Source organism: Homo sapiens, chromosome 17, assembly GCF_000001405.40.
Source record: "Homo sapiens chromosome 17, GRCh38.p14 Primary Assembly".
Lineage (NCBI taxonomy): Eukaryota > Metazoa > Chordata > Mammalia > Primates > Hominidae > Homo > Homo sapiens.
In genome coordinates this window covers 46,670,369-46,688,642 of record NC_000017.11, presented here as the reverse complement: position 1 = coordinate 46,688,642, position 18,274 = coordinate 46,670,369, and the positions used below count along the sequence as shown (strand labels likewise).

Below are 18,274 nucleotides of genomic sequence, written 5' to 3'. Positions count from 1 at the left end.
TCCTCTATACATTCTTCTTTTTCATAACTATCTTGGCTATTTCCAACCATGTGTATTTCCAAATGAACATCAGAATCATTCTTATGAGGGGGAATAACCTCCACCAATTAAAAATAAAAAAATAAAGAACAGACAAAAACCCAAGCTCTGACTGAAATTAGGTTAAATATCTAAGTTTAGGAAATACTAAAATCTGTATAGCATATTTGGTTTTTTAGAAGAATAATGCCTCTCCAATTATTCAACACTTTTACGTCTCTCAGTAAAGTTTTAAAATTTATTTTTATTTTTATTTTTAGAGATAAGGTCTCACTATGTTGCCCAGGCTGGTCTTGAACTCCTAGACTTAAGTGATCCTCCCACCTTGGCTTCCCAAAGTGCTAGGATTACAGGCGTGAGCCATTGGGCCCAGCTTCCCAATAAAGTTTTATAGTTTTTGTTGTTTAAATTCCTTCATTCCTTCATAAAGATTCCTAGCTATGTTTTTTGGTGGCAATTGTGATGGGATTTTTCTATTATATTTCAGAAACAGTATAGAAGTATGAAGGAAATATATTTTTATGTATTTATTTTATATATGGCTACTTTACTCTTATTTATAATATCTAAGTTTTTAAAAAAATCTGACTCTTTTGAATTTCCTAGGTAGACAATCATACCACCTACAAATACAACTTGTATCCTCCTTACTAACAGGTATACCTGCTTTTGGGTATGAGAAGCTGTACCAAAACAAAGACATATAAAAGGGGAAAGAGAGGGTCTAATAGCTAAGAAGTTAGAAGCATGTGGGTTCAACTGAACAGAAGGCCCAGAGGCAGTCAAGGTCCTATAAAAGGGATAATAAAATTTACCTAATGTGAGAAGCAGAAGTTATAGTACTATCATGACAGACTGAAATCTAGAATTAGGCCTTCCTACTGAAACAGAGGACATCAGTAAATGAACTGCAAAGTAGAATGCTCTTTATATAAAATGATTTTATTCTTGGCTTTAGGATGAAAAGGAGTATGCACTTGGAAGGTCAGTGAGAAACAAATAATGGTACATAAATGAGGCAAGCAGAATCTAAACAGAATGAGAATTTTGGTGACAGGAGTGGTGATGACCAAACAGCAAATGCTAGATTTGATTATTGCTTGCATGTAGGGTGGAAGACTGACAGTGAAGAAAAGAAATTACCCTGTAGTATGATAAGGAAGCTGCAGAAGGGAAAAGATACAAGGGAATTTTTTTTGTTTGTTTGTTTGTTTCTAGCATGATAAGATTAAAGAGTTAACAAGACATCTATTTGGAAAGGCCTCCAAATAGAGAACAAGATATACACAACTGAATAAAAAAGGATAGCAAGATACATCTGAACGTCTTCTGCAAATAGTAAAGAATAGTCTTGTAGCAAGCCGTAGATACCGTAAGAAGATGGATCATATAATTAAGCTGGAGGAATATAAAAGCAGGACAGATTCTGGGCTACAATACCAGAATATACCTATAGTAATCTGAAGAAAAGGGGGAATAAAAAAATGACAAAGATGAAAGATGAAATGTTACATCAGACATAGGAAGAAAGAGTTCCAAAAATGACCTGAAGGAAATTCAACTGGGTCAAAAACAAACCCTGAATATATATTTTTAAATAAAAAATAGATAAAATGCTATATGACCTAAAAATTCCACTACTTGGTTTATAGCAGCTCTGCTCATAATTGCCCCAAACTAGAAAACAACCCAATTGGCCTTCAGTGGGTCAAGAGATAAACAAATGATAGTACACCCACACAATTAAATACTATTCAACAATAAAAAGGGATGTTTGACACATGCAACAACTTGGATGAATCTCAAAGGCATTATGCTGAAGACAGCCAGTCCCCAAAGGTTACATAGTGTATGACGCCATTTATATGACATTCTTGAAAAGATAAAACTACAGGGATGGAGAACACATTGGTAGTTACCAGGGTTACTAAAAAGAAAGGGTGACCAGTAAGGGACTGCATGAAGGAGTTTTTGGGGGTGATGCAAATGTTCTACATCCTGATTTTTACAGTGGTTCCATGAATCTATACATGTATGAAATTTCATAAAACTACATACAAAAAGAGAAAAATTCATTTTACAGCATAATAAACCAGATAAAATAATAATAAATTCTATTCTTTAATGCAATTGTATGTAGGATGACAGATGTCCATCAAAGTTTCTAAAGTTTCATTAGGTTTTATTTTTGTTCCTGAACATTACTTACAAATTGTTCTCCCTCCATATTTTAAAACCTAATTTCAAATCTGAGGGAAAAAAACTTCATTTTTCTGTATCATTGCATTTACTGAATAGATATCTAATGATAAATAACTTGCTTCCTAAAAAAAAATTCAATACCAAAAACTGTTCATCTTTCCATCTGGAGAAAAAATTGGAAATGAGGAATTGGAACTACAACCTTAACTTTGCCAAAGTACTTCTATACAGCAGGATATTAATTCTTGTCATCTTCAGTGACAACAAGGATACTTCTGTTTGTGACTGAAAAACTGTGAAATTTTACATTATTTTTTAAAGTTTTTTTTTTCTTCAAGGTTGTCTGCCCTATACAGCATGAAACAAAAAGCTGCTATAATATATGAGTTTTACTGTCAATGTGCCTTATGTTGTTGATGGAATCATGATTTCCTTCTCAGCCCAACCTCAAAAATCACGTATGTGGACAAGGACAAAGACAATACGAACACTGTTTGATTAAATGATCACGGAGGCAATCTGTTCTAAACATAATTCAGTACAATTCTGACCTTTTCAGAACCTTACTAATCTTGTTACCTGTCATCAGGTCCCTTACCCCACCTAGTCAGTACAATAACATCAAATTTTACATTGTGTGTTACTTAAATAAAAGCAAGATCTTATTCCAAGAAATTGGGAATTGGGTAAAGAAGATGTCAAGATTAACGTTCACAGACTAATATAGCTGATTCATCAATAAACCCTTTATCAAAAAAATTAAATTTCCACAGCACAATCCTCTTCCATTCATTGGCTTCTAGCTCTGTTTTTAACATCTGCAAAGTCTTTCTCCATAGAAACAGAGCTGACGCTGTTGAGCCCTGGCAACAGCTTTCAAAAGCGGCTGTTCTATATTTAACTAGTTTGACCTATATGCAAGTGTTCATCTCCGTCAGTGTGGACTGTCCAAAATTACAGAAGTGATGTTTTTCTTTATTATGTAACACACATATATATCCTGCATGAGGTCATTAGCTGAGTACATCAAGCCATTTCTGGATGTGAGAAAGGTATAACTGAAAAGGCTGGCTATAATTAATATCGAACTGGAAATTCTTTGCTAACTCAATTTTATCATCAGTAGTTTAATATTTAAATTGCTTGCAACTTTAAAAACAGCACCAAAGTTACCTATGCAGCCATGTGGTTAACTATCACAACTGAGATGTTATAAAATGCTTCTCCATATGGCATTTTAACTCACTTCTGCCTAGTGTTTAATCCTCAGTATCTCATTAGGGTCCGTTAGACCCAATCTCAGTTTCTGAGTTTCTGTTTTAAGTAGTACTATTTATAAAAATTGATATCTCATGACTTTTTTCCTTTTTCCAAAGAGCAAACAAACAAAACAAAAAACCCAATATTTAAAAAAATAGAATAAAATTCTATCTTACAATTGCCATTTGGATCTACTAGATCTTTTTATGAATCTAAGACACATTATGCTATTTCATCACACTAGAAATTACATCATTACTCATCAATTATTCTCAACTATGCTTAAAAAGGATTAAAATAAGAAAATAGAAGAATGAAGTCTTTGCCCATGCCTATGTCCTGAAAGGTATTGCCTACGGTTTTTTTTAGGATTTTTACGGTTTTAGGTCTTACATTTAAATCTTTAAACCATCTTGAGTTAATTTTTGTATAATTTTCTGCATATGGCTAGCCAGTTTTCCCAACACCATTTATTAAATAGGGAATCCTTTCCCCATTGCTTGTTTTTGTCAGGTTTGTCAAAGATCAGATGGTTGTAGATGTGTGGCATTATTTCTGAGGCCTCTGTTCTGTTCCTTTGGTCTATGTATCTGTTTTGGTAACAGTACCATGCTGTTTCAACAGTGTGGTGATTCCTGAAGGATCCAGAACCAGAAATACCATTTGACCCAGCAATCCCATTACAATCATTCGACTATAAAGACACATGCACACATGTTTATTGAGGCACTGTTCACAATAGCAAAGACTTGGAACCAACCCAAATGCCCATCAACGATAGACTAGATAAAGAAAACGTGGCACATGGAATACCATGCAGCCATAAAAACAGATGAGTTCATGTCCTTGGCAGGGACATGGATGAAGCTGGAAACCATCATTCTCAGCAAACCAACACAGGACCAGAAAACCAAACACCACATGTTCTCACTCATAAGTGGGAAATGAACAATGAGAACACATGGTCACAGGGAGGGGAACATCATACACTGGGGCCTGTCAGTGGGTGGGGGGGCTAGGGGAGGGATAGCATTAGGAGAAATACCTAATGTAGATGACGGGTTGATGGGTGCAGCCAGTCACCATGGCATGTGTATACCTATGTAACAAACCTGCAAGTTCTGCACATGTATCCCAGAACTTAAAGTATAATAAAAAATGACTAAATTACTTAGAAACAGTGAAACAAGTATCACTATGACATCACTCTTCAGTTTTCTTACTGTGTTGTGCAAGATATGTGTTATCTTTCAAGAAGGCATAAAAGAAGTCTGGAGCTAACATCTTTTGTGACCTCATTCTACATTTTATTGAATACGATTAAGCATTAACATTTGTAAGTTCTCTAGCCAGAATGACGAAGAAAATCTGAGGAAACTGTTTTAGAATTATTAGATGAGTCAGAAGTTGAACACAAAGAATAAGATAGGAGCACTTAGGACTCTAATAAAGATGCTGAAATTGATGATTATAAGTAAAATCTCAGTCTATGTGTCTTCAGATGATGATGCCCTACATACATTTTCTCAAACTCAAGAATCAATGAGTGAATAATATACTTTTAATCTAAGGACAAAGCATTTTCATTCAGTTACTTATTCAATAGAAAGTCTTCTTTGTGGAATATCTTGTGACAAGAAATGAGGCCATCCCATTTTGCTAAAAGGACACATGACAGTATTCTTTCATCTTTTATTTCATTTGTGCACCAAATTTTCTTGATATAGTTTAAAAGTAGACAGATGCTGAAGGCAGGTATTACAGAGAGATAGCCAGAAGAAATAGATGAAGTAGACATTAAAAAATTGGATTGACCATAAAAAACAGAATTGATCATTCTGAAAGGTATCTACAAATCTAAAAATAAAAATGTTTTGCAACTGTGGAACATATAATGGTCATCCTCTCTTCAACAAAATTAGGAGCCAAAGATCTCAAAAAAATTCTTAAAGCATTATGTTTTGATGCTGTAAGTGCAAGAAGAACCAGAAGTAATAATAATTTAGAAGCCAACAAAGATGTATTTGAAACTTAGAATCAGTATTTGTAAGTTCATGCAGGACAGCTGATGAACAGTTACTGCATTCAGAGGCTCCTGCCCATTTGGGGTATACAGGTTGAGTATCCCTAATCCAAAAATTCAAAATCCAAAATGTTCCAAAATCTGAAAGGTGCACCACACACAGGGGGTTACTGTATGATAATCTTTTAATCAAAACACAACATCAGCTGGGCATGGTAGCTCACACCTGTCATTTCAGCACTTTGGGAGGCTCAGGCAGGAGGATCGCTTGAGCCCAGGAGTTTGAGACCAGCCTGGGCAACCTAGGGAGACCTTGTCTCTACAAAAAGATTTTTAAAATTAGCCAGGTATGGTGGTGCACACCTGTAGTCCCAGCTACTCGGGAGGCTGAGGTAGGAGGACGGCTTGAGCCCAGGAGTTTGAGGCTGCGGTGAGCCATGATGGTGCCACTGCATGCCAGCCTAGGCGATGGAGTGAGACCCCATCTCAAAAAACCAAACCAAAACAAAAGCCCCCCACAACATCGTAGGTGGTGACTGAAACTGTTGCTGTTTGGTGTTGCTGTTGTTTAACAGCTTATCCAGGTATTCTGGTGATGCCATTGTGCTGCTTAGTTACCCTAAACTCACTATTTTTTCACTGTATTAATGGTGTGTCATATTTTTTACTGTTAAGTACTTGTGTCTCAATACATGTATGAAAACGATTATTTATCAGGCATATAAATTTACACTCAGAAACAATGGTGATGCCAACCAACCACAGACCATCCACATCTAGTGGCTGAGATAGTGATGCCTTAGCTTTCTGATGGTTCAATGTACACAGACTTTGTTTCAGTAACAAAATTATTTAAAATATTGTACAGAATTACCTTCAGGCTGTGTGTACAAGGTATATACAAAACATAAATGGATTTCATGTTTAGACCAGAGTCCCAACGCCAAGATATCTTAATGTATATGCAAATATTCCAAAAACCAAAATCCAAAACACCTCAAGACCAGGGAAACATGGCATAAAAATTTTATTTATATATTTAAGTTCTTATTTAATTTTTAATAGTTTTTTATCTCTTTATTCTTGTATTTTGTAAATTATTTGGAAAATAATCTAAAATAATTTTTAAGCGGAGTTTATTCAACCTAGATAGTATATGGTGATGACTGTTTTTCTTGGTACACTGAGGTAAGTTAAAAAGATAAGTGAAGCAGAAACAATCTTAGTATTAGGAATGAACTGCAAAACTGACTGGTTCCGGGACTTTCTGAAGAGTTGAAATAGTGAATGGACTTGCACCAACCCACCAAGACCCACACCTGCTAGAACCAATGAGACTGATCTAGCTGGAGACCTGAACAAGAACTTAATGAAATGCTGGAAAGCAGGAAAGGAAACGACCTTGTATAAAATTGAAACAATTAAGGACCCAACAAGCAGACTTAAAGCACTAAGAGGATTGCTATAAAGGGAATATTTAATATTATTTTACCCTCAACAAAAATTTTAAATGGTAGGATAGATTAATTCAGTACAGCTTACTAGGTTTTTTTTTTGAAGACGAGATGTTATATTTCTGAGTGTTATTCATGTCGATCTATGTAAATCTATTATTCATTTTATTTTTTTGAGACAGGGTCTCATTCTGTTGCCCAAGCGGGAGTGCAGTGGCACTATCACAGCTCACTGCAGCCTTGACCTCCCCGGCACAAGTGACCATCCCACCTCAGCCTCCTAAGTGGCTGGGACCACAGGAATGTGCCACCATGCCTGGCTAATTTTTAATTTTTGTAGAGGTGGGGTCTCACTATGTTGCCCATGATGGTCTTCAACTCCTGGGCTCAAATGATCCTCTGCCTTGGCATCCTGAAGTGCTGGGATTACAGGCGTGGGCCACTGTGCTCAGCATATTCATTTTAATATCTGTATGCTATTCCATTTCCTACTAAGGAAGAGTAATGATGTTTCTTTTTCCTCTATTACAAATAGCATGACAATCAACATCCTGGTACATGTCATGTTGTTTATCATAGGTAGTGGTCTTGAAGTAGAACTCATGGGGTTTGTGCATTTTCATTTTTGTAAGATGTCAAATTTATTTGCAAGATACTACCCACTTGGTATATTCTTCTAGTTTATACTCCAACTAGCAATGTATATGAGACCTTGTTTCTCCATAACCCCACAAACTCTTGGTTTTACCAGCTGTTGTAAATTTTGCCAGGTTGTTTAAGAAATAATCCCTCTTTTATTATACATTTTCCTGAATATCTTTTCATTTGCTTTTCTTCAATTGTGTTCTTTCTCTGAGAACTACGTGTTAAATCCTTCGACAGTTTTTTTAAATTGTGGTATTTATATTTTTCTTATTATACAAGACTTTTTATAGAGAATTTATTATAGAGGATGCCAATTCTTTGTAGATTATATACACTGCAAATATCTTCTCCCAGTTTGAGACATTTGTATTCAGTGTAATTTGTCATACAGAATTTTCTTTATATTAATGTAGCCAAATTAACACTTCCAATGGATTTACTTTCTGTATCAATTCTTCCCTAGCCTCAAATCTTAAAACATTTTTGCCTATTTTTCTTCTAAATAAGTTTTCCTCCTATAAATTTTAGTAGGCTTTTATGTTTTTGTTTTTTTGTAAATCCACTTGCAATTTTGTATGCTGTGAGGTAGGAATTGCATTTTATCTTTTTCCAAATAGGTAGTCAATTATCTCAGCTCCGTTTAAGGCACAGCCAGCCTATTACTCCCCTCTGATCTGTATCATCACTTGTCATAGAGCAGGCTCTTCCTTCCTGTGTTCTATTGTTTCCTTGGTCTGTTTTTGCATGAATATATAACATTGTTTCAATTACTATTGCTTTCTAGTAAGTCTTGATATGTGATAAAAGTAAATCTTCATTATTCTTCAAAATTCTCATAACTCTTCAAGCCTCAAAAAAAATTAGAATCAAGTTGTCAAATGTTAAAAAATTCCTATTAGGCTTCACTGGAAATACACTCAACTTACAGACCAAGATGGGCAGAACTCATTTTTATGACATTGTCAGTTCTCCCATACATGAACATGTTATATCTTACCATTTATTAGCTGCTTAAAAAAAGATTTTCAAAAATGTTTAGAATTTTCTCCTTAAAGGTCTTGCACATTTCCTGCTAGATCGAATCCTAGGCACTTTACATTCTGATTTCTGCTATAAATGAAATTGTTTTTAAAATTACCTTTTTATTATCATCACATTGTCTTTGAGTCTTGTTATTTCTTTCTTGCCTTCTAAAGTATTTGAATTTCCACTGTTTCTTTCCCAGCTCCTCCCTATGCTTTGGAAAAGTTTGGGCACAATGTACAACTTTCACATGCACATTTGACTTAATGTTAACTAACATTATTAGCTTCTTTTTTTTTTTTTTGACATGGAGTTTCACTTTTGTTACCCAGGCTGGAATCCAGTGGCACGATCTTGGCTCACTGCAATCTCCGCCTCCCGGGTTCAAGCAATTCTCCTGCCTCAGCCTCCTGAGTAGCTGGGATTACAGCTGTGCGCCACCAAGCCCAACTAATTTTTGTATTTTTTTAGTAGAGATGGGGTTACACCATGTTGACCAGGCTGGTCTCAAACTCCCTACCATCTTCCCCAATAATATAAGGAGCTTACATGAATTTAATCTACTTCCCAAACGTTTTTTTCCATATTTTAGTTCTATCCTTTAAAAATATTCATATCATTATTGTTTTTCTCAGTGAATGCTATTAAAATTTATTTTTAAAACTTTTAATTGCAAAATACATCACACATAGAGAAAAGTTACAAAATGTGAATATATGCCTCAATGAACTGTCACAAAATGAACGCCTACGTAATCATAAGAAACAGAATACTGCTAGCATCCTGGGAGCACCTCCTCACAACCCCTCCCAAGCACTCCTCCCTGACCTTTCCCCATGGGTAACCACAATCTGATTTTTATGGTAATAATTCATTTTCCTTTATAGTTTTACCACCCAAGCATGTGTTGTTAAACACTATACTTTAGGTAAGCTCTCTATAAATGGAATCACACAGTATGTGTTTTTTGAAATCTGGTTTCTTTTGCTCAATAATTTATTTGTGAGATTCACAACTGTATATAGCTGTAGGCTATTTATTTTCATTACTGCCTTGTATTCCATTATATATTTCTATGATCATTCATCCATTTACTGGATATAAAATTCTAAGTTGACAGTTATTTTCTTTCAGCTCTTTAAAAATGGCCTTTGATTGACTTTTTGTTTCCATCATTTCTATTGAGAAGACAGCTACTAGCTAGTTGTTGCTTATTTGAAGGTAATTTTCCTTTGCTCTCTAGCTCCTTTTAAGATTTTTCTCATTTTTGGTTTTCAGCAATTTAACAATAATGCCTATATATGTAGAGTTCTTTGGTATTTCTCCTGCTCAGGGTTCATATCATTTCTGCAATTTATGGACTAATGTTTTCCATCAGTTTTAGAAAGTTCTAAACCATTTTCTCTTCAAATCCTGATTTTGATTCATCCTCTTTCTCTTGCCTTTCTGGAACTTTAAATACACGCACCAGACCTTTAAACGGTATTCTCTCTCTCTCTCTCTCTCTCTTACTCTCTCTTAATTCCTTTCATTCTTTGTCTCTGGTTATTTTCATCTTATATCTTTCAGTACACTAATTCTCTCTTCAGATGTGTCTAACCTGCTATTTAAACTCATTCACTTGAGTTAATTTTACTTACTGATTTTCTCAGTTCTAGAATTTATATTTGTTTATTTTTAGTTTCCAGTTCTCTGCCAAAAATCTGTCTTGTCTTTTATCCCCTTGAATGTGGTAAGTATAATTATTTCAAAAGTCTGTATCTGAGAATTCCAATATCTAGAGGCTGTTTGAACCATCTTTTCTTTTTCTTGATGTTGTTTGTGTATCTGTTTCCAGTTGCTTTTGATTATAAGCCAGACATTGCATTTGCAAACTAGAAACAATTTGTGACCTTACATGATACCACTTTCTTCCAGGAAGGATTTACAATTCTGCCAGATGCCTAGGGGCACTAGCAATTTAGGAACCCTCAATCTAATTTTAGGGACTGACATGATTCAAAGCTGATCTGCAGCCTCAGTGAGAGTATGTCTACTCCTGGTTAACCCTTGCTCCTATGGTGTAGCCCTTCAGGGTCTTGACTCAAAATGAGTTATGTTCATCAGGTGTCCCCTCCTTAGGGGCCATGGGCACTAATCTCTGCCCCCATTACTCCCACTAGCCTGTCAAAAGGGCTGCTTAGGTTTTAGCAGCTTCCTGCAGAACTGGCTAATATCTCGAGAGGAACAGTGACCCAGTATACCAGGAGGACCTTTGTTCTAGGCCTCCATTTTTCTTCTTTGATACCTTCAAGCAAAACATGTTTAAATATTGTGTTGAGCTTTTCTGGTAGTCTTCAGTGGAACACATGACTCAAATGACCTAATTTGCCACTACTAGAAGTAGAACTCCCAGACTTTATCTATATTTTCACCAATTTCATTGCTCATCATTGTTTCTTGGCTCTACTGTTTCCTTCTGGGTTCAACTTCCTTCAGTCTCAGTACATCTTGCTTCATAATCTTCCAACAAGCTTCTGCAACTAGTTAATTCTATTATCCTTTGCCTGAAGAAAAAAAGTCTTTATTTCACCCTCATTCCTGAATGAGAATTAAGCTGGGTATTAACTTTTAAGTTGACAGTTATTTTCACTTAGCTCTCTGAAGATATTATTCTACTGTTTTTTGTTCTCTCTTTCTGTCATGGAAAAGTTTGCTATCAACATAATGGATACCCCTTTGTAAGTCATCTCCATGTCTTTCTTTTGTTACTAAGATTTTTTTTCTTTGGCATTCTCCTATAACAAGTCTAGAAATAAGTTAATTTTCATTTATCCCATATAGGCTCATGGTGCTACCTGAATCTGAGTACTTATGTCTTTATTAATTCTAGAATATTCTTAGTCATTCTCTTTTTGAATAATGCCTCTACACTATTCTATCTGGACTTCTTGTTTTAACTCTCTCATCTCAACTTTCATCTTCTCCATCCCTTTATCTCTCTGTGCTACATTCTGGGTGATTTCTTTAGGTTTATTCTTCTGTTTACCACTTCTCTCTTCAGCTGAAATTTGTTGTCTTATCTTAAACTTGGTTGCTGAGTTTTAAATTTTCATGACTACTTTTTCTATTCCTTTCAGCCTAGGTTGTTGGAGCACCCCCTGGGGTTTGCTTATATCTGACAACTTATGCTATCACTAGCCCAGGACTAATTTTTTTCTTCCTTAACATAGGGTCTTGCACTGTCACCCAGGTTGGAGTGCAATGGCACAATGAGAGCTCACTGCAGCCTAGAACTCCTGGGTTCTAGTGACCCTTCCATCTCAGCCTTCCAAGTAGCTGAGACTACAGGCATGAGCCACTGCACCTGAATAATTTTTTTAACTAATTTCTCAGCTTCGGGTTTCAAGCCACATAGGTAGCATACATTCATTCAAATTCTAAACCAGCATGAACAAGGATCCATGGTTTACAATTCCCATGGGAGGCCGGGCATGGTGGGTCACGCCTATAATCTCAGCACTTTGGGAGGCCAAGGCGGGCAGATCACCTGAGGCTGGGAGCTCGAGACCAGCCTGACCAACATGGAGAAACTCCATCTCTAGTAAAAATACAAAATTAGCTGGGCGTGGTGGTGCATGCCTGTAATCCCAGCTACTGGGGAGGCTGAGGCAGGAGAATTGCTTGAACCTGGGAGGCGGAGGTTGTGGTGAGCCGAGATCACGCCATTGCACTCCAGCCTGGGCAACAAGAGCAAAACTCCATCTCAAAAAAAAAAAAAAAAGAAGAAGAATTCCCATAGGAGATTTCCCAGCTTCCATTCCAGAACCCAGGCAGTTAAATATTTTTTGTTAATTTCCCTGTGGTGGCAGCAGATATTTTCTAGTCCACTCTTTTCATAGACACAACCCCTTTGAAGGTACCAGTTCCTAGTCCACACTGTAAATGGATTCAAGGACTCATGTTCTGTTCCCTAGTGGGTACTAAAACCCAAACCCATACATTATGAAACCAAAAGCTGCAGCCCGTATCTTACGACTCTAATTTCCTGGAGATCCAGTTTTCTTTCTGAAGAGCTCAATTATGCATTTAAAATGATTTCAGTTATGTTTTACCCAGAACTTTTAAAAGTTTTATTTTGTGTTTAATTGGCACATAACTGTGCATATTTAAGGGGTACAGTGTATACCTAGCATTTGAAGGTGTTTATAGAAGGAAGGTTTTCTGGTTACCTAGTCTACTGTATTGCTAGAACCAGAAATCTCATGGCATTGTTCTTAAACTGTCAATGAAAAAAATATGTTAGTATTAGGATAATTAATCAGAACAGACAAACAGAACCAATAGAATGTTCGTGTGTGTGTGTGTGTGTGTGTGTGTTTTCCTTATGATAAATCTCTATGAATATGTATGTATGCATATACACCCACATATATATGTCAGCCTCCATAATCGTTTTAGCCAATTCCTTGGGATAAATCTACAATTTCAGAGGCTGACAAGTCCCAAGATCTGCTGTCAGCAACCTGGTGACCCAGGAGAGCTAATACGCATTATTTAGTTCCAGCCCAAAGGCCTCCAAGCCAGGAAGAGCTGATGTTTCGGTGTGCATCCAAACCAATGTCCCAACTCAGGGTAACCAGGCAAGTCGAAATTCCCTCTTACTTGCAGGAAAGTAAGCCTTTTTGTTCTGTTCAGGCCTTAAACTGATTGAATGGGGCCTGCCCACATTAGGGAGGGCAATCTGCTTTATTCAGTCTATCAACTCAAACGCTAATTTCATCCAGAAACATCCTCACAGACACAACCGAAATGTTTTACCAAATATTTAGGCACTTTATGTCCTAGTCAAGTTGACATGTAAAACTATCAGAATTAGTAAATTCTAGCTTGATTTTTAAATAATTTCATTTCTGAGACGCAAATCAAGCTTTCCTTTGAGCTCTGACAACTCAATCCTGTCACTCTATAACTGAGCAAGACTCAGTGTTAAGTAAGATAGCTTTTTGCATATGAACCTTACATAATACGATTTCATAAGTCTATTTATGGATTTAATTTCCCCTTTTCTTCCAAAGGATAAATGAGCACAAGTCTCTGGAAGCAATATGGAATAAAAGTGTCACCTGAAAATATATTCATGACCTATTTTTGCAAAACCTCTGGCTTACACAATCACCTACCTTTGTTTATAGGAATATGTGGGCAACAACATCTGCTCATCACGTAAATCTTCCACAGTCCCTGGTGCAGTGCCATATATAACCTAGGTACTAGGTAAATTTACCTGTAAGTTGCTTCAAAATATAAATCAAAGCAACAAGTTTGTCTCCATAACTCTGGGTCTCATTCATCGTATAGCGAGTGATAAACTTTTACTAAATCACACTTATGTTCACATTACCCTCCTTTGCTCCTCTTCAGCATCAGCAAAAAGTTTGCGAATGTTAGCCTCTGATTCTCCCACATATTTGTTAAGGATTTCTGGCCCATTGACCACTTTGGGCTCTCTTGCATTCAACATCTTGCCAATCTGTCGAGCCAAGAGAGTCTTACCACAACCTGGGGGTCCATATAACAGGATGCCTTTAACATGTTTACAACCTGAAAAGGAAAAGAAAACAGTCTTATATCAGCTAACTAGAATCTAAGTAAGACTCTAAAGGAAAGTGTTCTTTCTTCTTCGTATGCACTTTAGGAAAAACACAGTGATGCCATTCACATATGTTAATGTCCATGAGCCATGAACAAGAATATACAGCCAAAAATCCAGAAACAATTCCTATAACTGTACTAAAGTTTGAGGGGGAAATGCTGCCAGTTAAAGGTCTCTGGAAGAGTCCATTCATGCTATGATTTTGAACAAATACTTTTTACTCTGAAAATGTCTAACTGGGAAATATTACTTATTTTTGGCTGGGTGTGGTGGCTCACTTGAGCCCAGGAGCATGAAACCAGCCTGGGCAATACTTTGTGACCCTGTCTCTATAAAAATAAAAAATTTGCTTTGTTTTACATATAACGATAAATTATATATAATTATTATATATCATATATGTGTATACACACACACACACACACACACACACACACACACACACACACACCCCCATGGAATACTATTCAGCCATAACAAAGAACGAAGTCACATCTTTTGCTACAACATGGATGGAGCTGGAGGCCATTTTTCTAAGTGAAGTAACTCAAGAATGGAAAATCAAATACCATATGTTTTCACTTACAAGAGGGAGGTAAGTTATGGGTACACAAAGGTGTACAGAGTAATAGACTTTGGAAACTCAGAAGTGGGGAAAGTGAGGGCATGAAACCAGCCTGGGCAACACATTGTGATGGCAGAAAATTAAGAAGTGGGGAAAGTGAGAGGGGAGTGAGGAATAAAAAACTAATATTGGGTACAGTTTACACTACTTGGACAATGGGTCCTGCACTAAAATCTCAGACTTCACTACTATATAATTCATCCATGTAACCAAAAACCACTTGTACCTCAAAGGTTATTAAAATTATATAATATCTTTATATTACACCCAAAAAAGCACTCTGTGAAATAATAGATTATCAGGTTTCAGTGTCACACTCCGAAGTATGGGTAAAAAGGGAAATTTCTGAAAATGCAATATAAATAGTGTGTCGCCATGGAAAATGGTTTGTCCTTATCTGAAATGAAAGCATTAAGAAGTATATCTTTAAGAAAAAAAGTACAATACATTTGATGACTCAAGTAAAATCACAAGATGCAAACAACTCTATTAGAAATTTTAGATTCTGAGGAGGAAGACCCTTTGGGCTGTCAAAATTGGTCTTCACTTCCTCCTTTATGCTGAGAAAAGACTCCTTTTTAAATCCTTGAAAGTAATAAGAACTGTGCCTTTGGTTGAACATGGAGAGGGAGGGGAAACACTTGATGGCTTACAGTCTTAACCCTCTGCATCACAGAGTAAATCCCTTCCCTAAGAACCACTGCCCAATAAAATGCTTTTTGGCCTTTGACTCACCCTCCAAGTATGAGTGGTAGGGAGATAACAGGAGAAGCCTTGAGCTTCTCCTAGAGGCCAATACCACCAAGCACTACCAGCATCTAAGTTACAGGGACACGCTGGATTAGCAGCACGTTGAAGTCTGGCTCCTAATCTTGCCCTCTGAGCCAACTGTTACCATCATGATTTGAAACTATTCATATGTATAAACTGTAGCTGAGGCAGGTGGTGGTGGTGAAACATTCATAGGGAGAGGACATCCAGAAAGAAGAAAATGAAGATTTTCTGAGTTCCTACAAAGCACCAGCCCTTCTGATCTCCAACTTCTTGACTTCTACATTTTCTCCAAGTTTATCAACTTCCTCTTAACCATACTGCCTTCCCTAGTAAGCCATGCTTTCTTTGAAGGACTTTTAACTATTTATTCTTTGTAAATTTCTGTTATAACCACCCCATAGTCCCTGAATACAATATGGCTTTATTCACTACACATTGGCCACAATGTGTATAATTTCTCCATAGCACAGCTGGAGAAAATTATACCACTGTGCTACTGACTGATACCTCCAGAATTTCATGCTATCCAGTTTCAGTTCTATGCTCACTGCTTTCTCATGCCACTCTTTACTTGTCTTTGTTAGCTCATCTCTAATTCTCCTTATTAATTATCCAGATCTTCACTGTTCTTCTCAAGAGCTACCCCCTGCTATGAATTCTTAGAGATAACCTAGGTTCCTATTTCACATATCAAAAAAAAAAAAAAAAAAAGACTTCACCTCTCTGCTTCTTTATCTATAAATTGATCAGCAGACTCATCCATTCTCAACCTAATCTCGGTTCTCAAAGTAGTCTTCCTTCCTCTCCTCCAAGGTTTATATTGCAATTCTCTGTTTACATGGCTTCTTCGCTATAAGACTGTAAACTATTCAAATGCAAGTACTATCTCATTCACCCAGCATGATGCCCAGCACCTACTATGGACTTCAGGAAAGGCTGAATAAGTAAACTGTTGATTCTTTTCCTACAAAACTCAAAGAATATGAAGGATTTTAAAAAATTATTTGAAGCTCTTAATTTATGGACCGTGCTTATTCTCATAGCTGAGCTAATTTAAATACTTAAAAAAAAAATACATTTGCAAGACTGAGACTTTCCGAATTTAACAAAACAACATAAACACAAGAATCTTAACTTTGCAACTATGCTTCTGTACACAGAAAATGCTCAAATTAATGTGTTTTGAACTAAATTTACTCAGATATTATAAAATAAACAATTCACAAATTATTACCATGAAGTTTAAAAGAGATAAAATGTTTACCCATGCAACTTATTATATATAATACAGATATGTGAAACGATAGAATATATTTAATATAACTTCAACAGGAATGTAATAGAAGCTCTAGTCTGCTTTAGAACTATAATTCTTTTAGGATCTCAAATGAGCACATCAAAAATATACACTGACATGTGAAGTCTTTCAAAATGTACTTCCACAAAGGAAGCTGTTACTTGAATAAGCAGTGGAAATGGGACTTTATTATTACTATTATTATTACAGCCTATTCTGACTTATTAAGTAAGCATTGGTCTCTAATTTTAAATGAGTCATAAAAACTCTTTATAACTAATTCCATTCAACAAAAGTGTACTAAGCTCATGTTTAGACTAGATGCAAAGGTAGCTGTTAGGGATACAAACATGAAAAAGACAGTCCCTAGCTGTAGGGCATTTCTGGCTTAGTAGGAAAGACAGAAATAAAAATAGGCTATCTACAATATAATATGACATTATCAGAGATATGTATGAAATGTTTTTGGACTCTAGCCAAGAGATACTGATTCTGCCAGAGTGATGGCAGAAAATTAAGAATGGACTCAGGTGAAGAGCTAACATCCATTGTGGGCCTGGAAGAATGAGTAGGAGGTTCACAGGCAATGGAGAGGAAATGCCACCCCAAAGAGAGAGACTAGCATGATCAAAGGCATAGGGATATGGACACAGACACTGTTCTCTCGAAACAGCCAGTAGTAACCTGCTGTAGCCAGAGCCCTGGAAGTGAGGAGAGGGCAGTGCCTGGCGACGAGGCTGGCAGGCTCCTAACTGGCAGGCCTTGAAACCATGACCATGATTTTTTAACTTGTTTCATAGGTGATTAAAACCCCACATTTTTGGGTGATTAGTCTAATCACCCTTAGGTGTAAGTGACAATCACGGAAGGCACACCAGGAGATATGTATTTAAAAGCTAACTGTGTTGGCAGAGTGGAGAAAGAACGAGAGACCAAACAGGCAAAGGAGGGGAGGCTAGCTGGGGGAATGTTCTGAACCTTTTTCTGGGGATACCAACTCACTCTGGATTCTTGCCAGTTAAGTTTTCATATCCCTCTAAGTCCTTTGGAAGCACAGGAACAAATGGGTCCAGGGGCCTCGGGAGGACACCCTCTGCTCCTGCTGATGCCCCAGCTTTCTCCTGAGCTTCTCTAGGATATTAAAGCCTGGATCTGATATTGAGGAGCCTCTGATCTCTGGCTGCTGGACTGACTGCCCAGCTGGACTGACTAATGCTGCTGTTTTATTCTTAATATCTTACATGCCACCTCACTCCTCAGAGATAAGTGCCTTAGGTTAGTGACCTAAATAACAAAG

At 36.7% G+C, this 18,274-nt stretch overlaps 2 protein-coding genes across 3 annotated transcripts in view; both read right to left on the bottom strand.

The window, feature by feature from the left end:
* LRRC37A2 (leucine rich repeat containing 37 member A2) overlaps positions 1-18,274 on the bottom strand; it is a 676,337-nt gene that overhangs the window by 360,486 nt on the left and 297,577 nt on the right. The window lies entirely within an intron of this gene.
* Positions 1-18,274, bottom strand: part of NSF (N-ethylmaleimide sensitive factor, vesicle fusing ATPase) — a 166,796-nt gene that overhangs the window by 68,822 nt on the left and 79,700 nt on the right. For both annotated transcript variants that reach the window (NR_040116.2, NM_006178.4), the window contains one exon: positions 14,030-14,229. Coding sequence is in view for 1 of the 2 variants with exons in the window: in NM_006178.4 (NP_006169.2) it covers positions 14,030-14,229 (200 nt within the window). In the remaining variant the exon portion in view is untranslated. The remainder of the gene's footprint in view (positions 1-14,029; positions 14,230-18,274) is intronic.